Source organism: Homo sapiens, chromosome 10, assembly GCF_000001405.40.
Source record: "Homo sapiens chromosome 10, GRCh38.p14 Primary Assembly".
NCBI lineage: Eukaryota > Metazoa > Chordata > Mammalia > Primates > Hominidae > Homo > Homo sapiens.
Window position 1 is genome coordinate 84,220,097 of NC_000010.11, and position 24,188 is coordinate 84,244,284.

At 46.8% G+C, this 24,188-nt stretch overlaps 2 protein-coding genes across 4 annotated transcripts; both read right to left on the minus strand.

Annotated features, from left to right (window-relative positions):
• Positions 389-5,493, minus strand: LRIT2 (leucine rich repeat, Ig-like and transmembrane domains 2). 2 transcript variants are annotated; one of them, NM_001284223.1, is made up of 4 exons: positions 5,315-5,493; positions 4,237-5,018; positions 2,732-2,761; positions 389-2,584 (listed from the first exon to the last, which is right to left on the minus strand). In NM_001284223.1, exons 1-4 carry the CDS (start codon positions 5,422-5,424, stop codon positions 1,824-1,826), a joined length of 1,683 nt encoding a protein of 560 aa, NP_001271152.1. In that variant the 5' UTR covers positions 5,425-5,493; the 3' UTR covers positions 389-1,823. The 2 variants fall into 2 exon arrangements, with proteins under 2 accessions (NP_001271152.1, NP_001017924.1); NM_001017924.5 differs by lacking the exon at positions 2,732-2,761 and having other exon boundaries at positions 475-2,584; positions 5,315-5,448.
• A 5,930-nt stretch (positions 5,494-11,423) lies between these two features.
• Positions 11,424-21,450, minus strand: LRIT1 (leucine rich repeat, Ig-like and transmembrane domains 1). 2 transcript variants are annotated; one of them, NM_015613.3, is made up of 4 exons: positions 21,222-21,450; positions 17,124-17,590; positions 13,977-14,282; positions 11,424-12,807 (listed from the first exon to the last, which is right to left on the minus strand). In NM_015613.3, exons 1-4 carry the CDS (start codon positions 21,341-21,343, stop codon positions 11,831-11,833), a joined length of 1,872 nt encoding a protein of 623 aa, NP_056428.1. In that variant the 5' UTR covers positions 21,344-21,450; the 3' UTR covers positions 11,424-11,830. The 2 variants fall into 2 exon arrangements, with proteins under 2 accessions (NP_056428.1, XP_011537928.1); XM_011539626.3 differs by lacking the exons at positions 17,124-17,590; positions 21,222-21,450 and adding an exon at positions 16,864-17,028 and having other exon boundaries at positions 11,493-12,807.

A 24,188-nucleotide genomic window follows, 5' to 3' on the forward strand; every position in this document is an offset into this window, starting at 1 on the left:
ATGTCCATCTAATTTTAAAATATCTGCTCTTAGGAGTGGTAATAACATTGTGTTTATGTTTTTTAAAACTTCATCTGTTAGACCTCAAACTAAAACATTTACAGGTAAATTGGTGTGAAGCTTTGTATTTGTTTTAAAACACTCCAGTTAAAAAAAAATGTTGAGGGCAAGGACAAGATGAAATAAGCTTGGGAAATGTTAAAACTTGCTGAAGGTGACAGAAGAGGAGGAATGAGATTCTCTCTACTTTTGGCGTGACTAAAAATTTTCATTTAAAAGTTATTTTTGCCAGGTGTAATCCCAGTACTTGGGAGACTTTGAGATGGGAGGATAGCTTGAGGCCAGGAGTTTGGGACCAGCCCAGGCAACATAGTGACCCCTGTCCCAATTTTTTTTTTAATTTAGAGTTTTTTTTTCTAATGCCCAGAAGAAAACAAATGAGTAGAATCTGAAGAAATGAGCGGACAATTAGTCTGAAAATGAGAGCCATCTTCAATTTTTTAAAATTTATTGTTAACTAACATTGATTATGAACACAATCCAGGTATTAGACGAGTGCAGTGGCCACCGTGAGGAAGGTCAGTCTTTGCCTGCAAATGTCTCACAACCAATGGACACAATGTGCATACTGTCCTTTTCCCCAGAGGTGTGAAGTCAAGGAAAGCTCTGTGGAAGACGTAATGTACACACTTGAGAGAGGCCTAAAAGGATGATTAGGAATGGGTAAAAAAGGTGGGAAGGAGGAAACGTGTGGAGATGTCACAATGAGTCTAGTTCATGTTTACACTCTTAGAAAGGTTTGCATGTGGCCAGTGAGGGAAACGGCAGGGAGACAGATGTGAATTAAATCCTGGGAATGGTCTCCCCTAGAAGGGCTGTTCAGTGGGATGATGAGCTGATGTTGGGATTCTTGGGGCCCCTCCATTCCACATGGGTCCGGCTAAGAGGAAATGACCACCTCTCATGGATTTCATAGGAGGGCTTTAGACATTGACTAGGGGAAAGCAGCGGACGTATGGGTGCTCTTCCTTCTGGGTATGGCCCTGCAGAGTCTGCTCTCTGCCAGACCCAGGGCTGCAGCCAATCCCCTACTCTTCCTTGGTGCTGATGGCTCCAGCCTGCCCAGCAGCACCAAGGGCTGTGCTCACAGGGGAACAGACACCTACAAAAAGAGACTCACATTACCCAACAGCTCTCATCACCCTGATGGGCAGCTCTTTGGAACATCACATTTATGTGATCTCATTAGGAGTTTGTCATGAAGAGAGAGGGTCACACTTTATAAACAATGAAAGACACAAGAATACCGCAAAACAGGCATTCAAGGAAACGATGGAACTGGAACCTCTTTTGAATGGGGCTTCTGCCTCCTGCCAGATGTGGACTCTGGGTGTATCATTGAACTGTCCAGGCTGCAGTTTTTCACCTATAAAAAGTGGGTAGAAGTCTACCTTCGTTTACAGGATAATATATGTAAAATATTATACGTAGACATTACGTATAAGCATGTAAATGTTATAGGCTAAGTATATGCAAAGAGTAATATTTAGTGATTTCTAATCACCATGTATAATAAAATGATTAATTTGATGGACAAATCTTCATTGACTTTAACTTTACGAAGATAATGACTATGTCCCCTTTATCATGAAGATAAAGACTCTGTTTCCCTTTTTACTCTTGAACCCCCTGTGTCAAGTTCAGTGCTTGGAACACAGTGGGTGCTCAATATATACTTGCTGGATAAATGGATGGAGCTGCTGCAGAGGGTTGGTTTCAGAGGCTTGAAGCCCAAGCCGTTTCCACCCCATGGCCTGGGTTGTTCAGCTGTTGTCTTCCGTTCCTCCTTTCTCCTTGTCCCCCTCAGTGTCTATGTGCCCTTCACCGTCATCACAGACAGCTGGATGTTCTCTAAAGGAGCCATCCTTGGACTGCGGGGCTGCAGGGGTGCAGCTGGGGGCTTTCCTGCGATGAAGACAGCCGCGCAGGACCCACTTGCTGCAGCTGCAGGGGCCCTGGGCTGCCCAGGCATAGGCGCCCACAGGCACTGCAAGCAGCACCACACACAGGACCACTGTGACATGCAGGAGGTGCTCACGTGCCTCTAGCCCACCAGCATCTCTGCCTGTTACAAAAGCTACACACTGGCCCTGGTGTGGAGGCTGGCCCTCTAGGCTGAGGCAGGCCTCATATTTTGTGCCAGGAAGGAGGTCATCCACAGCATAAGTATTGATTCCGGGGCCAATGTGAACCACCTCCTTCCTGAAGGCTTCATCCGATGCAATGTAGAGGGTGAACCACTCCTCCTTAGAGGTGTCAGCCACTGCAAGCCACTCCAGCAAAATCCCATGCACTGTCTGCTTGACAACCCGCAGGTCAATGTAGGCATTGCCCTCCGAGGGGATGGAAAGAGAATCAGGTGCATGTAGGGCCTGGGCAGGCTGGACATGGAGAGAGATTACAAGGTTGCTCTTGCCAATGGAGTTGGAGGCCATGCAGGTGTAATTACCACTGTCTACCAGGTGGGCAGCAGGTATGGCCAGCTCTGACAGAGCAGTGTCTTCTCCAGTAGAAGATGTCAACACTGGGTGGAAAGAAAAACAAAACAGCTGTGCATTTATCTGATAGACTGCTGGAAAGTGTCTAGCAATGCCAGTTTTGTTTTGTTTTGCTTTGTTTTTTGTTATTGTTGTTGTTAGAAGATGGTGGTAACCTCTTATGAACCTCGTACCTGGTGTCAGGTGTTTGCCTCCCAGCAATCCTGTAAGATAAATAACTGATCTTTACACATAGGATATTGAGGATTGGAGCAATCCATCAACTTGCCCGTAGTGAGAGTTGTTCAGAAGCAACAATTGATATGGGACCTGGCTCTTCAATCTATGAAGACCATACTCTTTCAACTTCACTAACTGCACCCACCAAACCACCTTCGCCTTGCTGAGCCATGGCTTTCAGGAGAGTTCTTGCAACTATGTGATTGTACGATATTATGAGCTTCAGGAAGTGCCTTCTTACCTTCCAGATGCACAGTTCCTCAGAGCCTGGAGCCACATGCCTGGGCTGCTATCCCTAATGGAGCTCCTATCCAGTGTGGTACTGGGCAAGTTGCTTAAATTCTCTTGACAATTTTCTTGTCAATAAAATGGGATGATAAGCAATCACCTACCTCATTAGTTTGAAAGTAAGTGTTCAATGCTTATATTTTTACTGAGAGATTATATAACACGTTGCCAAACAGTGATTATAGAACACCACGAAAGACAACACCTGTATGCATTTCTTGGTTTTCAAAGAGGCTACAACAATAAATCCTATAATTTTCTTTCATTGATATTGAATGCCAAACCAATAAGGTATTATCAAAACAATACAGAATGTGAAAATTCAGTTAATTGGGTATTTTTAAACCATCCAGAGTTTTGTCATAATGTATAACAAATACCTGGGCAAATGACTATATTTCCCAAGTTTTACCCAGCTATTCCTAGTTGTCTTCTAGACAGAGAACAGAAGACAGGACACGAGGAATGTACGAAGATTTTTCTTTTCAGCTTTGGGATACCCCCAGGGAGGCCATCCCCGGCTTTGTGATATGCCCAACCCTACAGAGTAGCATTAAAGGTAATCCCAGCTGAGGTATGAAAACAGAGCAGAGGGTTCCAGGAAGGAAGAGGCAGGTTTGAATTCCAGCCCCAGGGCCCACAGAGGTCACTTCCTTTCCCTGGGTCCCAGTATTACAAATTCAAGCCAATAAGGTCTGAACAATTTTATGTCAGTGTTATTTCAAACAAGCACCCCAGGTGATTCTGCTCAGGCAAGTTAAGGAAATAACTAATAGATCATCTCTAAAATCAATCCTAGTAAAAAATTCTAGAATTCTAAAATACATAGTCCAGTGTTTTGCATCTAGAAGATTCCCAAAGACTATATCTGCTCATATAAAATTTTATAATATTTGCATAAGATATTAAATTAGCCCTGAAATATGTGTTTATATATGTGTATATGTTCTGTATGCAAAGAGATCTGTATGCAAACATTTAAAATAATGCCAATAGTGGAACACTACCTTGAAATCTTTTCTGTTCTAGTGAGCATAATTCAGGGCTATCCCAATCTTACTTGCACCCACCCTTCGTGACTGACCCAGCTTTGAATCTCTCTAATGAGGATGGGTTTGCTACAGACCTCTCCATTCCCTCCAGATACACTGAGAGGGTGCATGTGGCTTACCATCAAATTCTCTCCACATACTCAGGGGATAAGTCCATGCAATGGATGGTGAGGGGCTGGCCTGTGCCAAGCATCGCAGGGTCACATTCTGTCCTGCCCGGATGGTGATATTGGCACTGGGGGTTGAGATCTGTGGCTTCATGCAAGCACTAAGCTCAGTTTCATGAAAAAGCTGCCCTGCCTTGGACAGAGGGCCCTGACATATCAGGTAGGAATTCACCAGGATGACTGGGAGGGTAATGGACTTGACAAACTGGACAAGCCCCCTTAGGCGACAGTCACATACCCAGGGGTTGTCATGCAGGGCCACCACCAGGCTGGAGAGAATCTCAGCCCCACAGTCAGGCTGCCGGCATTTCTGGTAGGCTGGCCAGTTCAGGAAGACACTCTTGGATACAACTGTAAGCCTATTGGAGGATAGGTCAAGGTAGGTCAGGCTGACCAAGAATTGAAGAGCCAGCTCAGGGAGTGCATCAATCTTGTTGCGTTTGAGATCCAAGACCCTCAGGAGAGGGGTGGCACGGAACGCTGTCCATGGTACTGAGCAGAGCTTGTTCCCCTCCAGTCTCAGCTCCCTCAGTTCTGGCAGGTGTTCCAGGGCTCCTAGGTGGATCACACTGATATTGTTAAAATTGAGCCAGAGGTATTCCAAGGTGCTCATGTTGATGAAAGACCCTTGGGGCATCTCAAATAAGGGTGAATTTTCAATTCTCACTTGCTTGAACTCTTCAGAAAGGTTCCCAGGGATCTTTCCCAAGGAGACAGATGTGCACTGCAGAGTCCTGTACAAGAAACCAGAACAGCTTTAAGATAAACAACAGGGGACTGAAAAGTGGGGTCAGGCTGATCCTGGCATTAGACATGTGAATCAGAATAAAAATATTATTATTCATTGAAATAAAAGAGTTAGACTCATTTTGGTAAAAATGCACAGTTCAGCAAAGTTCAGTCCCAACTAGAATGAGTCTCATAGAGTTTTGCTGATTTCCTGCCAATTCTAAGCCTGCTTCCACTCCACATCATCCCCAAAGAAAACCCATTCCCCATAACCCTCTAACATCTGGCCAGCAGAGCGCACCTGCCAAAACTCTCCTCTGAGCAAGTGCATCCTGGCAGACAGAAAGGCTGAGCTGCGTGTGTATCCAGAAAGACCAGAACTAACAGGAAGTAATGAAAAACTGAAGCCATATTTCTCTGTAAGAAAATACGTTGTGAGTTTTGAATAAGTATCGCCCCAGCTTCCGAGTGGCAAATCCTATTATTGGTAATCCATGATGATGTAAGTCACACAGCAGCAGGAAAGCCCATGGGAGCTCTGAGGTCTGTTACAGCCCAGACCACAAGTTCAGTCAGAACACACGAAGGGGGATCAATGTCTCTTAACTAGGGTCAGGAAATTCAACATTTGTGTAATTCTTGAGTCTGAAAAGCAAACTCCAAGTCAGATGTCCAATTCCATACAGATTCTACATTTCTTAGAGTCTTAAACAGAAGTCTGAGAAACAAGCAGGCAGTGCTATTCTGAGCACCACTGTTCAGGGGATGTGGCCAGAATCCATCTAATGCTTCATCATTTGCAGTTGATTCCTGAAACCTAGAATTTCCAATCATTTTCTCAAAGTGAAAATAGGTGATGAGTAACAAAGTAATTCTGTGTTCATTCCTATCATTTGTTCTCTTCCCAACACCACGGGTGGTGTAGTCATGCTCCTACTGCATCAAGACAGCTGCTTCTGCAGCTTGGGTCACCAGTTTCAAATACAAGATGGTATTTTCTGATTAAACCAAAAGATTGTTTTCTTGGACTTCACAACCTTTCCTTAATACTGTGCATTTCACTTCATCAAAATGGGCAACCTACATTTTAAAAAGAGATGTATACAATTTTATATGCTTGCTCTTTCACTCTTCATTTATTCCACAAATATTTACTGGTCATTTGCTTTAAGCTATACTCTTGCCCAATGAAAGGAACAGGGTCAAGGGCAAACCTATTATAGACCCTGTCCCAAGGAGTCTTCTCTCTTGTTTGTGCTTCTGAATCTTGAGATCTTTGGAATGTAATTTAATCTCTGTGAGTCTTTTCTGTATCATGAGAATATTAACAAATACCTCATAGTGTTTCCAGGAATTTATTTCTCATTATTTTTTAATTTTTGTATTTTTTCAGAGACAGGGTCTCACTCTGTTGCCCAGGCTGGTCTCAAACTTCTCAGCCTCCCAAGTAACTGGGATTACAGGTGCAAGCCATTGCATCCAGCCATATTTTTAGAAAAGTTTGAGATTATGTTAAATACAACACCTAGCACACAGTTGGTGCCCATTAATCCTCCTCCCACTGACAAACTCTTTAAGATCCGAAAAGTCTACATCTCTATTAACTAGGGCACTTCCAGTTGAATATTGAAATTCCATGAGTTCCTTTAAGACTCATGATATACATTGTACCCTACAAAAGGCCTCAGGAAAGAAAATCCGCTTAGCTAACCAGTGAGGGGGGAAATGGGTCACCAGCTAAGCTGATTACACTCCAGGCTTTCCATCCAAGCCAGAAATATTTGCAGGAGTTTCCAAACAGTCTAACTCTAAAACCTGGGGGGACCACTGTGTTTGTCTAAAGGTAAAAATCCAAAACAAAGAGAGAGCTATCGGCACAAAGTTTGTCATACATATGGCTATGTGCTTCCTAGATCCCCCTTCAAGGTATAAGTGGATGCTCAGCTGCAAGGAGTGCTTGCATGAGGTCACGTCCTTCCCAAAGCAGCCACATCCCACATTCAGTGACTGAGGGTGGTGAGGGCCTGGCCAGTTTGCCCTGATGGGGGAAAACTCTGATGAGCAATTATCACTCCAGAGTCCCCTACCAGCTTTGCTAAGGCTTTGTCAGGCTTGTTTCATGGAAATATGTGATTTAATTCATGACTATTCCAAACCACTAGTGGATTCCTTTCTCTCCCCTTACCCCAAAGGATAAAGATCTTAAGAGTCCTCCATTCCCCCACAATTTCCTCTCTGTCCATCTCATGCCAGCCTTTTCAAATGAATCCAGCTCCATCCAACTTTCAAGAAGTTTGCGGGAAGCTTGTGAAGCACACCCACTGGCATGCTATCTCTAGAATCATCTAGGCCACTTCTCTACTGCCCCCCACTCCTTTCCTGACCCCCTCATTCTCTGGTTTCCTTATTTGGCATATGAACAGAGGGAGTGGCTCTCTTGGAAATTGAGGCAGGAGACCAGGATAATTGAAGTTAGCATGGGTCAAGTTATTTATGTTAAACAACCTGTGGTTCAGTGTAGTCCCTAAACTCAAGAGACCCTAACAACAATGGCAAGAGGGTCTGGAAATATTACAACCCATCTTCCCTCTTGCAGGATGCTTTTCAGAACTAGGGTCTTAAAATTCTCCATAGAGACAGAGTCATGGGGGAGGAATTACTCTGTGTTTGTGAAATGCTTAGATATAAATGGCTGCAGGGAGGCAGCTCCCTGGCTTGTCTTAATAGAATCTTAATAGGAGAGTGTCCTATCTATTCAATTGGAAAATGCCACTCACCTTCCCAATATTAGTAAAACACTGGGCTACCTCAGACAGAGAACAGGGCATCCTATCAGGGAGCAGACACGCTGTACTCCGTTTCTCTGAAGCTAGGACTCTTTCCCACCCCCATCGTCTGCTGCCAGCATGTCTGAGATGCTGCCTCAGCTACCCACGCTCTTAGGTATGCCTGTGGCAGAGACACAAAAGACCTTTCCAAGCCTCCTTGAAATAGGTGGGCTACAAGACTCTTGATCTAGCTAATGAAATGTTACAAGAAATGAGGTTTGAAAAGCCCTAACATGATCTTCCAATTTATCTTTTTCCTTGTTGTGGCAACCACTGACATTCCAAATGGTGGAGTCTTCCCAGCCATGTCCTTGAGTAAATTAGTGAAGCAGAGCCCTCCCTCCTTCTGTATTTCCCAAACTTAAGTAGAGTCTGTGGAACAGGAATACATTTTTCCGTGTTAAGCCATGGAAATTTGGGAATGGTTGCCTAAGCATAAATCTAACCTATCCTAACTACAATGCCCTTGTGAATAAATATGCTCAGGTACTTGTATGTTGATTTTTGCCTTTGTTAGATTATATGATAATTAAGACAAAAATTTCCAGCTCTTGTCCTCTAGACAAACTGCTCACTGAATCCCTCGATTGATAGCCTAGGTTTGATAGCCCACATCCACTTTCCAGAGCACAATTTCTGTATTTGCCTTTTTGTACCCAGCAACTTCAATGGGCAAGTGACCTTGGACATATTCTCTGCTTAATCATGAGGAATAAAACCATGTTGCAGTCATCAAAAGACATCATGAAGATGCTATGATTCCAACCAACCTACAAACCAGGCTTCCAAGGCCAGCTATGCTGCAGCCTCGCCATGGCCCAAATTGGTCTTCAGCATTGGAAGGCCAGAAATTCTTTTGCCAGGATACTCAGAGGGCATTCAATTTTCAGGGACTAACTCATACTCATCAGACTCACATACTAAAAGACTAAGGTAAGCCAGACATCATTTTATTTTTTACAATAAGAATGTGTTTCTTCCCATGACTTGAATATTCATGAGCGTAATCCAGGATGATTCTTCTCTACAAGGGCAAACCAGGGAAGACAGGATACACAAAGGAAGGTTGACAGATGAGTTTTGGGAGGCTTATCATCTTGGAGGCTGTATTAGTCCATTTTCACACTGCTGGTAAACACATACCCAAGACTGGGTAATTTATAAAGAAAAAGAGGTTTAGTGGACTCACAGTTCCACATGGCTGGGCAGACCTCACAATCATGGCAGAAGGCAAGGAGGAGCGAAGGCATGTCTTACATGACATCAGGCAAAAGGATTTGTGCAGGGGTACTTCCATTTATAAAACCATCAAATCTCATGCGACTTATTCATTACCACGAGAACAGTATGGGGGAAACTGCCCCCGTGATTCAATGATCTCCACCTGGCCCCACCCTTGATTCATGGGGGTTATTACAATTCAAGGTGAGATTTGGGTGGGGACACAGTCAAACCATATCAGAGGCCTTTCCATCCAGACCATGAAAATAGGTCCCAATAAACCATTGGATCATTGGCAAGATTGAATTCTCTCTCTCTCTTTCTGTCTCTGTTAACATCAGATAAATACTACAGATTTCTTGCTTTTAAGTTCCTGATTTTTCTTCAAACAAGACTCAATAAAACTGGCTAAATGTTACTTGTCTTTAGGTCAATAACTGTCCCATCATGATTGGTTCAGACCATCATTTAAAGGCAACATCCTGATCACTTCAACAGATGACTGCTTTCATCTACTGCATTTACATTTGTCCTAATTTTGGGGGTGTCTATCACTCTCATTTATCAAAGAGTCAGAATTGAGTCTTGGGTCTCCAAAACTCACCAGAAATATCTTTCTAAATTTTCATAAGGGGTAAACAAACTACAATCTCAGGGTCAAACCCAGCCTGTCACCTGTTTTTGTAAAAAGTGTCTTATTGGAAGACATCCATACCCACTAATTTACATATTGTCTATGGCTGCTTTTGCATCCCATCAGCAGAGTTAAGTAGTAGCAACAGAGCCTAAAATATTTACTATTTGCCTTTCTTTACAGGAAAAAAGTTTGCTGGCTCCCAATGTACACAGTGTCTTTGTCATCTTACAACAAAACAGCCTCTCTTACCAATGTCTATGGTCCACAAGTTATAGTCAGGTGCACCCTCCAGGTGGTGGCAGAAGATATCCAAGAATGGAAATTCCATGCTCATGTGCATGGGTGCTCTCATGGTTCTGATCCCAGGTTTCAGTGATTTTTAAAAAGTTGATTTCTATAGTGAACCTTCTGTAGACCACATTGCAGGGATGGATACTGAATAAAGACCATCAGCCTGATGAGAAAGTTGTCAAAGAACTAGATTCTGAAAGAGAATTCATCACTTCCTTGTATAAATCATTCACCTCTTTGGTCTTCTTCTGTAAAATCAAACAGCCCAGCCTCCATAGTGGGTTGTCATGAATATCAAATGTGAGAAAACTGAGTGAAATATGTTGTAAGGTCTTTTGTAAATGTGAGGGGAGTAAGAAGCACTGCATCACACTGGCTTATGTCTAATAAATCACATGACATAATACTTACAAATACTTGGAGTCTCTTGCATAATACTAGCAAAACAATTTTCTTGGATCACTTGCTGTCCCAAAATTTCTTCAGTTGTTACCCAAAGGACTTGGCACAGGTACCCTGGATGCTCCTCATGCCAGAGATCGGCTTTATAAATAAGGAACAAATTGAGCCTTCTGCTGGGAACATTCACTTTCCCCAGTGCACAGAGACAACATCTCAGTGGTTTCCTAGCTCCAAGAAAAAGCAAACAGCAATTTTCCTTTGAAGTAACTTGATGAGCAACCAGGAAGGCTCCGAGACACCCTCAAGAACCCAGGTAGGTTTTGGTAAGAATCACAAAGGCTGCTGCATGGGACAGAGGTGAATGTGCCAGACAGCACAGAGTGTAATGAGGTCTCTTGGATCCCTCCAGCCTGACATTCTGAAAGCAAATGAGCAATGTTCTCTTGGGCATTGTCTCAAACTCTAGCATTTATCGAAAAATCAAATGATTGTCTCTAGGCAGAATAGCACCCAGAGAATAAATATTAGAATTCACTGAGGGCACAGTGGGTTATGAGTGTAGTGTGTGTGTTAGTGAGGATGGGTAACTACCAATATGGCTAATGCATAGAGAGATGGTGTGTGTGAGTGCCTATGAATTAGCATAAATGTAATCAAGGTGCAGTATAGGAGGATGGTAAGGACTTTTAACCGTGGATCCCAACTGTGTGGTCCAAATCTCAGAGCCATCTAAATTTGCCTAGCTGTGTAATCCTGGGCAATGCAGATTAAATCACTGTTCAGCACATATTCCTTGCTCTACCATCACCTCCAGGGGAGAAGTGTCCTTACTTGCCCCATCAAACTTGGGTTTGGCCATGAGACTTGCTTTGGCAGATAGAATATGGACAGAAGTGGCAGTATACCAGTTCTGAACTAAGAACATAACAGGCATTGCATGAACAATCATTCCTCTATTATCATTCAACCTCACCACGAGAGAAACCTGCCCCAGGTACCCACTGCTACTCTCCAGCCCAGGCTCCAAATGAAACACACAGAGCAGAGCCACCCTAATCAACCCACAGGCCTGTGAGTGTGAAAATAAGTGTTCACTGCTATACATCACCAAGATTTTGCTTTCATTTGTTATACAGCAAAAGCTGACTGATACAGGCAAGTTTCTTAACCCCCCACCCCAGGGAAATGGAGAGAATAGTGATGCCTGCTGCAAATGATTGTTACAAGAATTTAGCACTTAGAACACTTTCTAGTCTGTAGTAAGTGCTTAACAAGTGTTAGCGGTTGTTGCAGTAGCAGCTGCTGCTGCTGTTGTTGTGTGTAAGTATCTGAGTAAGCAGGTACCCGAGCAGGTAAGAGTGGGTGATCGTGTACTCAGGTGTCAGAGCTAAAGAAGGAGCGTGGGCAGGCAGGTGTGTGAGTTGCGGAGGCATATCCCTCAGCAGAAGTACTCATTGATTCTCCTGCCCCCTTTGACTCCAAAGGCCTGAAAGTCCACACTGGAACGAGCTGAGAGAAGCCTGTCAGCCTCGCTGACACTGTGCCGGGACAGCTCCTCCAAGCCGTCCTCGCTGTAGCCCAGTCTCTCTAGGTTGACGTAGGTAACTGTGGCCTCAGTGGAGTCCTTGTTGAAGCACTTTCGGCAGCGCTTCTGAAGAGCACTGCAGCAGACAAGCAGCGTGAGAGGCAGGGCAATGACGATGGCCACACTGATCACCACCACATTGATAAGCTGCTGAGTGTTCTCAGCATCCACCACTTCATTGGTGGAGAAAATAACACACTGCTCCTTCCGGGGCACCAGGCCCTGCACACAGACACACGCCACATACTTGGTCTTGGGCAACAGCCCAGTGATGGTCACTCTGGTCTTCCCAGGCTGCACAATCACCCGCCGCATGCTGTGCTGCCCAAAGACCGCGTAGAGGACACTGAAGGCAGTTGTGTTCTTAGCCTGGGGTGCCTTCCACACCAAGGACACGCTGTGGTAAGTGTCCCCCACCACCTTCACAGACCTCACCATTCGTGCCTCTGAGGGTCCTGCCCGCCCATCAGAGAGCTCTCCCAGGGCATCCATCTGGAAGTGCTCAAGGGTCAGCTCCTCCTTTGTGCTGGGCACAGAGGGTCCAGTGGCCAGGACAGCGGGTTTGGGAATCTGGGGGACATGCCTGGCCACCAGCTTGTTGTTGTAAGCAGCAGCTTCCCCTCCGCCACCTGTCCTTGCCCATAGTGCTCCTGGGCTCCCACTGTGTTCTGTGGAAGTCGGTGGCTCAGTGACAATCAAGGAGATAACAGTTTCAGAGGCTCCCAGGAAGTTCTTGGCTTGGCAGATGTAGTCTCCGGAGTCAAGGTGGGACACTGCAGGCAGGCCCAGCAGAGTCCAGCTCGTGCCGTCACTGGAGACTTCCTGGTGCACTAGGAGGAAAACAGGCATGTGTGGGAGAACGAATGGGCCCATCTGCCCCAAGCTGCCTTTCAGGGCCAAGTTCACAGCCCCAGGTGGTACACACTCAGGTGTCATCGTAAGAAAACACTGGCAGTCACTCAGTGTTTCTTAGACCAGCCAAGGGTATCAACATTACCTTGGACTCAAATGTGGTGAGCCTCTGGAGCCCCAGGCTGAGGCAGAGCCTAAGAATGATGCCTTCTAAATCTGACAAGTTCACACTATGGGTTTTTTTGTTATTGTTTGCTTTTTTCAGACAGTGTCTTGCTCTGTCACCCAGGCTGGAGTGCAGCGGTGTGACCATGGCTTACTCCAGCCTGGAACTCCCAGGCTCAAGTGATCCTCCCACCTCAGCTCCTGAGTAGCTGGGACCACAGGCACATGCCACCAAGCCTAGGAATATATATATATATTTTTTTTTGCGACAAGGTCTCACTATGGTGCCCATGCTGGTAACTCCTAGACTCCAGCAATCCTCCTGCCTCAGCCTCCCAAAGTGCTAGGATTGGGTGTGAGCCCCCAGCCAACCCACTATGTTCTTAAGGGCCCTGGAATTTTGCAAAGGTGATCAGCTAGATTGTGCTGGAACCCCAGCTCCTCCATGTATGAGCTGTGTAATGTAGCATTTAGCCTCTCAGAGCCTCAGCTTACTTATATGCAAAATAAGAAGGAAAATTGGGTTGCTCTTTGAAGTTCAATGTCATTATGTGCATAATACACTTAGCACTGTGCTAGACCCACATGAAGAGCTCGATAGATGGTAGCTCACATCATTAATTACTCCAGGTAATTCTGGTTTAATATTTACAACTGGGAAATTTATTATAAATATTAACACACTAAAAGAGGGTCTTCCACCAAAAAGTCAGCTTTTTGTTCTCTCAGGGTGGGCCCCAAGTCTCTATAGAGTGTCTGGTGGGATATGATAGGACAGGTCAAGAGCCACTGTCATTGTTGAATCTGTTGTCACAGTGATTTGCCTCACCTCTGGGAAGCCCCTGTCAAACTCAACTCAGACAGGTGGAAGCCCAGCTTTGCTTAGACAACTTCCCTCTGGCCCTGCCAAATCCCCATTTGGGGAGCTGCTTTGCCCTCCCCAGTCTAGGTTCTCAGTGCAGCATCCCTGTAGCTCACATACCTGTACCATTAAGGGGCCTGCCATTGGCCCTCCTCCAGCTCATCTCGGGCCCAGGGACTCCAGTAGCTCCACAGCGTAGCAGTGCTGTGCCACCCAAAAGGGACCTGATGCTGGCCACTCCTGGATGGAGCTCTGGGCCCTGGCACTTCCTCAGTTCAAGCTGGCTGAAGGCCACTCCGGCCAGGCTACGTGGGCTGGCACATCTCAGTTCAGTCTCAATGAAGGCCAAGTTTGGGGCCCAGCCATCCAAAAGATGAACCAGGTCATAGAGTCGGCAGTCACATGCCCAGGGGTTGTCCTGTAGCCCTGCAGGAGTAAAAAAGAAGACAAGATATTCAGATAGATACTCAACGTCCTCAGGCCCAGCACCCCTTCCCCTCTGGAAGGACAGGCAGGTCCTCATTCAGAGTCAGCAGAACTGGCCTCTGGACCCAGCTCCTTGCCTTGCTAGTAGTATGACCTGAAATTTGATTTTTCTGTGTTAAATAGTAGCATTACTTTCTTTTCAGGGTTGCTTTAAGCATAATCAGAAATAAATCATATTAAGTACCGGGTAGATATACAGCATACTGACAAAACCGGCAATTACTGTTGCCATTCTTGGACTGATCCTTTCAGGCCACTGGCCAGGCAGTATTTCCACAATAATTGCAATATGACAAAATCCATTTCCAGAAATGCATCACTGACCCCTGATCCTTGATGCCAGTTCTCCCAGTATAAATGGTATTTTCAGCATCATCCCGGCAATGAAGGTGGCTGCTCTGAGCCATGGTCCCTTTGACATAGGCTTAAATGGGCGTAAACAGCAGGGTGACAGGGCCAGAAAATCAAATCCTAGGCTATATCCCCTACTGTCTTTACTCTAAAATTGAACATTCTTACAGAGCTGAAAGCAGATCACTGTACCCACTCTGTCAAAGAACATTATAGAGATGGAGGGGTACCATGTGCATATAAATGAGGGGTACTATGTGTCCTCAATTCTAAGGCACAATTCCTTCTTATAGGGTTGCATTACTGAAATGCAAGATAAATACACTTGATATGATGTTCTTTTAGTCCCCAAAGACTTATTGAATTTAATAGTATATCTAATAATCAATGATATCTTATACATTCACACAGATATATTTAATACGTGCATCACAGGGTTGGGGTGGGTGCATTCAGATCTGATTGTATATTCATGTCTCTCAGGTCTCTTTGAGCACAACCCACGGGTGCCAGTTCCTTTTCCCACCTCCCCCTCACCCCATCTCACCAGTGGTTGCTGCCTTGTGTCATTGGTTAAACGCACTTAATGATACATCTGCAACCCAAGATTCATCAATGCCTGGCTCCAGTGGTGAGCTACCTGGCTTTCGTTTTATCACAATAGGGCCAGAAAGAATGAATGTAAAAGGCAAAGTTAAACAACAGTGAAACTTTCACTTGCCAGACTGACAAAAGTTAAACATTTTGGCCATTTTAATTGTTAGTTCCATGAGTGTATACGTTTTCACCTCTTTTGTTCTCTGCTGTATTCCCAGCACCTAGAATTGGAAGGCATTCAAAAATATGGAGTCTCACTCATTGCCCAGGCTGGAGTGCAGTGGAGCAACCTTGGCTCACTGCAACCTCCGCCTTCTGGGTTCAAGTGATTCTCCTGCCTCAGCCGCCCAAGTAAGTGGGATTACAGGTGCCCACCACCACATCCAGCTAATTTTTGTATTTTTAGTAGAGACAGAGTTTCACCATATTGGCCAGACTGGTCTCAAACTCCTGACTGCAAGTGATCCACCCGTCTCGGCCTCCCAAAGTGCTGGGGTTACAGGTGTGAGCCCCCGTACCCGGCCCAGATGGGTTTTTAAATGTCTAATATGCACACTCTGTGACCTGATAACTCCACTTCTCAGTTCCTATCCTAGAGAAACATTGATGTGCACAAGAACGTATTGCCGGCCGGGTGCGGTGGCTCACACCTGTAATCCCAGCACTTTGGGAGGCCGAGGTGGGTGGATCACGAGGTCAGGAGATCGAGACCATCCTGGCTAACATGGTGAAACCCCGTCTCTACTAAATATACAAAAAATTAGCCAGGCGTGGTGGCAGGCGCCTGTAGTCCCAGCTACTCGGGAGGCTGAGGCAGGAGAATGGTGTGAACCCGGGAGGCAGAGCTTGCAGTGAGCCGAGGTCGTGCCACTGGACTCCATCCTGGGCGACAGAGCAAGACTCCGTCTCAAAAAAAAAAAAAGGAATGTATTGCCAAGAATGTTCTCTGTTGCATCATAGGTGTTACCAAATAATGGAAACAATGTAAAAGTCCATTAAAGGGGGAATGGCTAAATAAACTATAGTATAAATATGTTTATAACATAGTGCAGATATAGTATACTATAGAATATTGTGCAGTAGTTTTAAAAATAAACTTGATCCATTTGTAGTAATTTAGAAAGATCTACGAGATATAGTGTTGGGTCAAAAAGTTAGCGTTGGTTAGTATGTATGACAAAATTTTATGTAAAACATACACATAACTTTTCTGAATCCATGTATGTATGTGTGTATATGTATATACATATGCATATGAAATGTATCTGAACAGATAGGGAGCTTGCATATAAATATGATAATAGTAACTACTTTTGGGAAGGGGTTGGAATAGGGAGAGAGGACAGAAGGGTCTTTAACCTCTTCTGCAATATTTTAAACATTTGTATTTATTCATGTATGAGTTGTATAATTCAAATCAATTTTCCAGAATGAATTATGCCCCTTCTGTCATTCTCAGGACCAGGCAGGTGCCTTGGGCAGGAAAGATCTGGTTCACATGGTAAGCTGTTGGTTTGTTAAGAACAGGAAGGAACCGAAAAAATAGCAGGTCCAGCTGGTGTAGTGTACTAACCCATTCAGCTCTGAGTTGGGAAATTGAGTCTCAGGGGCCTTCTCCTGGTTGTATGACCTGGAAAGACCTCTCTTATGACTGCGATATGAACTGCCACAGTCTGGCTTGTGGATTGAGCTCCTAAACCCGCCGCTCTTGTGGATCTCACTGTCTTTGCTCAAACCTGGAAGGAAGGTATGATTTCAATTTTCCAAATAATCGAAACTCAGGGAAGCGTGGTAACTTGCCTAAGACCCCAGGTGAAGGTTGCCGACCCTTACCTAGGACCCGCCTGGGGTGGTGGCCGGGAGGAAAGATACCGGTCTCCAGGTGAGCCCAGGAGACGATGAGCTCCTGCGGGAGCCTCATCAGCTGGTTGCTGGAGAGGTCGAGGAAGGTGAGGTTCTCCAGGAAGCGCGCGGCCTCAGCGGGCACAGCCGAGAGGCGGTTGGCCTGCAGGTCCAGCAGCCGCAGCTTGGGGGCGTCCCTGAGCGCCGCCCAGGGGAAGGCGGCCAGGCGGTTCCCGGGCAGCCGCAGCTCCCGCAGGCGTCGCAGGCCCCGCAGCATGAGGGCGTTGAGCTCGCTGAGGGCGTTGTAAGGCAGCCACAGCTGCTCCAGGCGGCCCAGGGGCCTGAAGGCCTCGCCAGGAACCCTGCGTATGGCCGTCCGCTCCAGGCGCAGTCTGGAGGTGTCCGGGGGGATGGACGCCGGGGGCAGGGTCATGTCGGGGTCGTTGCACACTACTGTCCTGCTGGCAGAAATGAGGGATAGTTGAGCAAGGATCCTGCCGGGTCTGGGATCTCCCACCGCTACCTCCCTTCGCGAGGCCTCCAGTTCTGCCTGTTATCACCGGACACCCACACCAGAGTCCAAGCCATGACGGGGACCTGGAGAGGGGCCCGGAGTAAGCAGACCTACTTTTCCCTTTGCAGAGGTCTTGCTCTCAGAGCCTTTCACAATGGTCCCAGGAAGGTGATTTGGTCTTCACGGTCCGGCAAGACCCCACCCTTACACTGTTACGACCCATAACAGCCCGCAGCACCCACAGTGCACTAAGAATGAACAGCATTAATAAACCCCATGATCGCGTTGTGCACTGTTGCTTTGCAAATATGCGTTAGAAGTGTTCGTTTGGCCGGGCACAGTGGCTCACGCCTGTAATCCCAGCACTTTGGGAGGTGGAGGCGGGTGGATCACCTGAGGTCAGGAGTTCAAGATTAGCCTGGCCAACATGGTGAAACCTTGTCTCTACTAAAAAATACAAAAATTAGCCAGGCATTGTGGTGCACCCCTGTAGTCCCAGCTACTCGGGAGGCTGAGGCGGGACAATCGCTTGAACCTGGGAGGCAGAGGTTGCAGTGAGCCGAGATCACCCCACTGCACTCCAGCCTGGGTGACACAGCAAGACTGTCTCAAAAAAAAAAAAAAAGTGTTCGTTTGTTAAATTATACCTCAATTTTTGTAACTGTTTTGGTTTATCGTTTAACAAAAAATATACCAAGGACATCAAAAATGAAACCACCTCAAGTCTCTCCCACCTCTGCGGAGCCATGCGATCGATGATCAAGTTGTTTAAGAGCCAGGACTTGGCAGCCCCACAGCTGGATTCACACCTGGGCTCTTTGCTTGCTGGCTGTGTGTCCTTGAGTACATTAGGTAACCTCTCTTTTCCTCAGTTTTGCCATCAAATAGACCCCACAAGGTGGTTATGGGGTTTAAATGAGGTAATGCATGTGGAAGCCCAGCACATTGCCTGCCACCCTGCATGAGCCCAAGGGTATGGATCACTGTCATCAATGTTTGCATCTCAGCACTGCAAGTAGATCGGGTCAGTCTTATCAGCTCTTCTACCCAAACCACGACTTCTTAAACCTTATTCCATTAAGTTTGAGACTAAAGCAGAGGATAGAGAGATAATAGGAGGCAGTCCCTGCCCTCAAGAAGCCTACATTTCAGGGCTATGTTTTATACTACGTAAACTGAAAACAAAATCCTAAGCCCCCCAGCCACTGAACAGGCCCTTCTAAGGGAGGTTGTTCTCTTGTAATAGCATAACCTACTGGTGATATCAGGCTTTCCTGGAGGTGCACACACATATCACCAGCATCCCTCAGCATAAGTCTATGCTCCACTTAAAGGCAGCTGGGCTGGGCTTGTTTTTTCTTGTAAACAGTGTCCACAAACAGCACGGATATTCTTACTCACTCCTTTTGAGCAAATATACATGGAACTCTTACTAAGTGATGAGCAATTCAGAAGAGAATCAGCCTCATAGCCCCTGTCTCCATACAGTGTGTAATCTAGCTCAGGAAGAAAGAGCATTTACAGCAATGATATTTCCAGATACTACAATAGGTTCGGGCAGGTGTGATAGCTCATGCTTGTAGTCCCAGCTACTCAGAAGGCTGAGGTGGGAAGGTGGCTTGAGCCTAGGAGTTGGAAGCTACAGTGAGCTATGATTGTGCCACTGCACTCCAGCCTGGGTGACAGAGCAAGACCCTGTCTCAAAAAAAGTAATACAGGTTTGGGTATTGCAAGGAGGAAGGTCTGGATGTAGGTGAGAGAAAGACAGGTGATTGGAAAACTTATCTTGAACGGGAGAGAAAACGGTAAAAGGGGCATTTAAAGGAAACCATAAGAACTCAATGCAAGCCTACACCACAGCTCAAACCTCCAGCACAACTCCGGGTGGGGTAAAACCAGAGGCAAACTGGGACAAACAGCATGGGCACAAATCCATTCAGATGCATAGCCCAGCTCCTCCCAGGCAACCCCAGTGCCCACAGGCACACACTTCACGATACAACAGCTCAGACATAAAGGCTGGGCTCTCTGAGAGGCCCAGGTTAGAGAGGGATCTGAGGAAGGCTTCTGACATGCAGAACGAGCTTTGGTCTAACTGCACAGTCTGTGCCCATAGCCACAGGGGACCTCAGGGCCCGCTACCACCTTTCATGGCCTCATAGGACCCTCCATGCAGATGGGCTGGTGCATGTTAGCCATGGGATAGTCAGGCGGGTAGAACCAAGAGCTCTGGCTTCAGAGAAGGGAATGCCCACTGACTTACATTAGCGGCCCTAGAAACTCATTTTCCATCTTAAGATTAACTCTGCTGCCTGGAACTTACCACTGGTCCCTGCCCATGGCAGCATCACCAGATAAGTGTTCTGAAAACTGAATCGGAATGCCTGGGTTCCAGGACCGGTTTTGTCAATGATGCTGTGTGGCTTTCAGCCCTATGCCTTCTACGGGTGGTGGGAGGCTTTTTGTCACTCCAGTGACACTGCCCAGGCTGGGAACAGCAGGCTGTTCAGGGCTCAGCCTGGCTTCTACTGGGGACAGGACCCTTACACTTCATATGAGTTGATGCCTTGGACACTTGGGCTACAGTGGAGCTCATTCTGGTTCTCAGATCATTTGAGGTGTCTTTTCTTAGTGGTTCTTCTCCATTCTCCTCTCATCCCCCAATCAACTCGACATTCATTGCCAAGATTATTAAAAGGGTAGCTCCAATAACATTGTTCCCAGGATCAGAAACCATCAGTGGCTCAGAAACCATGCAGAGGTCATTAATGGATAAGCTAAAGAAGTTGGAGAAAAGATGATTTAAACGTTGCTAAAGAAAAGAAGAAAATGAGCAGTAGTGGAAGAGCAAGGGTCCACAAGCCACAGTGGCATGGGAATGTCCCATGAAAGGAGAGGAGGAGAGAATGGAGGTGCTCTGAGGGATCAGACAGAGGGTGGGGAAAGTCAAGGAAAAGGCTGGGGATGGAAGGAAGCATGCTTGTCATGGGATGGGCACTCCTGGCTTTTGGAGCACTCATAAAAAGGTATTGAGGCTGAGGCTCCTGGGATCTGGCCAGCGAAGATGGAGAGGAGGAAGAGAATGAGAGGCAAGTGGTCCCATCATGGGTGGGGTTGTAGGAAATGCCTGGGATATGATTGAATATTGTAGAGAGGTCAGGCAAGAGAGTGCAAGTGGCCTGGGAAAGAAGGGGCTGGGGAAATATAGAAAAGAAGAGGGAATAGAAAAAATAAAAGAGAAGAAAAAGCAGTAAGGGAGGAGATTTCCTGGACCTTTAAGGAGGGCTCTTCACCAGGAGCCTGGAGGAGGACTTAGGAAGGACTTCTTAGAACTGACATACTTGTGCCTCACCCTCGGGCCCATGTGTATAGATACCTGGTACCTCTCGAATAGAGTCACCCCCTTGCCTGCTGGAAAACAATGCAGCACAGTCCACCCCATAGGATCCCTGGTCCTCAAGGGCCAAGGGAGATGAAGACCTCACCCAGGGCCCCAGCTCCAACTCCTCCCAACCCAGCCTAGCTGGCAAAGCAATGGAGGCTGGGCTGCCCGTCCCACGCACCCGGTACCATACCTGGCCTTGCTGCCATCACCCATGATATGGAGGCTGCAGCTGCATTGAGAGGGGCAGAAGCCCCGGGCCTGGGGGGGCCACGCAAGGGCCAAGAGCCAGAGCATGCCTAATGCCACCCTCATGGCTCCTGGCTCCTCTCTGGCCCAGGCAGGGGCCTGTCCCTGGACCGCTCCGTCCCACCGGCCCAGCAAGCTCAGCAGCTGCCCACTTGCTCGCCAGCCCCTTACACCCCCTCCTGAGGCCATCGGATAAACATGGACAGACTGGGGATTAGGGAGGGGAGTCCCAGCCGCAGCACTCAGAGGCTTATTGCTTTCTGAATCACTCAGTCCTGAGGGTAGGGGCGGGGGACCCCCTTCCATAGCAATATCCACAGGCCCAGAGAGGCCAGGGCAGGGCACAGCAAAGCAAGACAAGTAGGCAGCTTTCCAGAGGCGAGCAGCCATGGGACTGTCATCTGCAAAGCATCCCATCCCAACAAGGCCACGGACAACACAGACCCCACTGGAGTGCCAGGGAAGATGGAGAAAGAACCCCCGCCTCAGTAAGGGCCTTTGGAAATTCTTTCCTGTGACACTGTCTCATAGCAAAAAAGCAGTGAAATGAAGCAACTCTTCCTGATGGTGCTAAAGGCATTGGAAGGAGGCTAAGCTCTGGACCCAGGCTTCCTGGGGTCAAATCCCAGCTGCTCCATTAAGGGGCTGTGACCTTGGGTGAGTCACATTATCTCTTGGCCTCTGTGTCCTTATCTGACAAAGAGAAATAAAGTTACTTCATGCAGGGTGTTTGTGAAAATCAAACTCAAATTCCAAGGCCTTGACAGCCTGTGGGAACAGAAGCTCTCTCACAAGTTGTAAGTGCCCAGTTTCACTGGTACTTATAAGACCCTACTTACAGAAGAACTGGACAGATTCAGATATTTTGGGGAGACATCAGAGGTGTCTCTCATGAGCCCACAAACTGTCCCAGGCTGCCAGGCAAACAGCTGCCTGCCTTGAGTGCCCCATGGATATGGACTCAACACACTACTATTTCAGCTGAGCCCTTCTGGGCATTGCTACGAATGCCAAAGGTGGAGATGTCTCCACATAAGGGACAAGGGCACCCCTCTCCTCAAGGTGCCCTACTCCAAGGAGGGCCCCAGAGAGGTAGCTCAGAGAGGTCTTAGAGAAGGCACTTTCAGGTTTTTTTGGAGACAGGACCCCAACCTCTAATAAGGGCCTTTGGAAATTCTCCATCCATAAAGCTTTGTTTTGCTTTATAGGGACAGGGTTGCTCTGTCACTCAGAGTGGAGTGCAATGGTGTAATCATAGCTCACTGTAGCCCCGAACTCCTGAGCTCAAGCCATCCTCCTGCCTCAGCCTCGCAAGTAGCTGGAACTGCAGGCAACCACCACCATGTTTGGCTATTTTTAAAAAATTATTTTTTGCAGTCAGGGTCTTGCCATGTTGCCCAGGATGGTCTCAAACTCCTGGCCTCAAGCGATCCTCCTACCTCAGTCTCCCAAAGTGCTGGGATTACAGGCCTGAGCCACTGCACCCAGACTAATTTCAATTTTTACTTATTCTCTCCTAACCCTATCTCGCCCCACCATATCTACTCAAGATGCCAGTGGGGACTGACCAGGGATGATTCCCAGCAGTAGACACTCAGTCGACTCATTCATTCATTCTTCACATTTGACCCTGAGGCATTGTTCTCTGGTCCAGCATGCCCTACCTATGTTGTTTGGCTTTTCTAGAAGGTTCCCCAGTCCTTCATGCCTGTGGCTCCAGGCAGGCCTAGACCAGTGAGGTATGACCTGCAAAGATATCTGGGGCCCCAGTGCACACATAAAATGCCTAGCTCGGAGCCAGGTCTGTTTCAACAATACTGGCTTCTCATTCTTTCCTTCCTTCCAATGCAGCCAGTAGGATTTTCTCAGTGCTTCCCAGCTATACTTCCACCTCCCCAAACCCAGCCGTCAGCTTGCCTGTTCCCACATCTCTGCTTCTTCCTCCTTGTGTCTTTTGCCCAAATGAACTTTACCCTTTAATCTTGGCCTTGCCCTGCTTTATCTCCTCTCATGAAGGCTTTTGTGATCTCGAAGGCATGAAAAAAGGACTGACATATGTATTAACCAACACCATAAGGTAGAAATTGAGACAGAAGGCCAGGCAGGGTGGCTCATGACTGTTATCCCAGCATTTTGGGAGTCCAAGGCCAGCAGATCACCTGAGGTCGGGAGTTCAAGACCAGCCTGACCAACATGGAGAAACCCTGTCTCTAATAAAAATACAAAATTAGCCGAGCATGGTGGCACATGCCTGTAATCCCAGCTACTCGGGAGGCTGAGGCAGGAGAATAGCTTGAACTGGGGAGGTAGAGGTTGCGTGAGCCGAGATTGCGCCATTGCACTCCAGCCTGGGCGACAGAGCGAGACTCCATCTCAAAAACAAACAAAAAAACAAAAAAGAAATTGAGAAAGAACAGGGAACGCTCTGGAGGGCGCAGCCATAAGCTCAGCCCTGCAGAGGGATTAGGCTTGGATGTAAGTGAGGACTCATGAGAGGAAAGGCCTGGGAAGTGGGCATTCCTGGAACAGAGTGGGTTGCTCTACCAGGTGAGTCAGAAGATGCCATTGAAAAATGCCTGAGCCTGAGGAATAGGAGATCGGCTTTTGTTCCAGCTCCATCCATAAATTACTGCATGGCCTCAGGCAGATTCTTAACTGTTTTTAGCCACAGTTTCCTCATCTAAAATGGAAAGGATAATGGTATCTAACTCATGGAGTTGTTGTAGGACTCATCAGAAGATCCCCTAGCACAGGGCCTGACCTCACTCAATATTAGCTATGTTGCTGATAGTGCTCTGGAGCTTGGTTTCTTTATCTGAAAATGAACTAAGTTGTCCTAGATCAGTATTTCCTGGTGTAAATTTTATCATGAGCCAGAGCATAACAGTGCATAAAGAGCCAGTGTATCAAG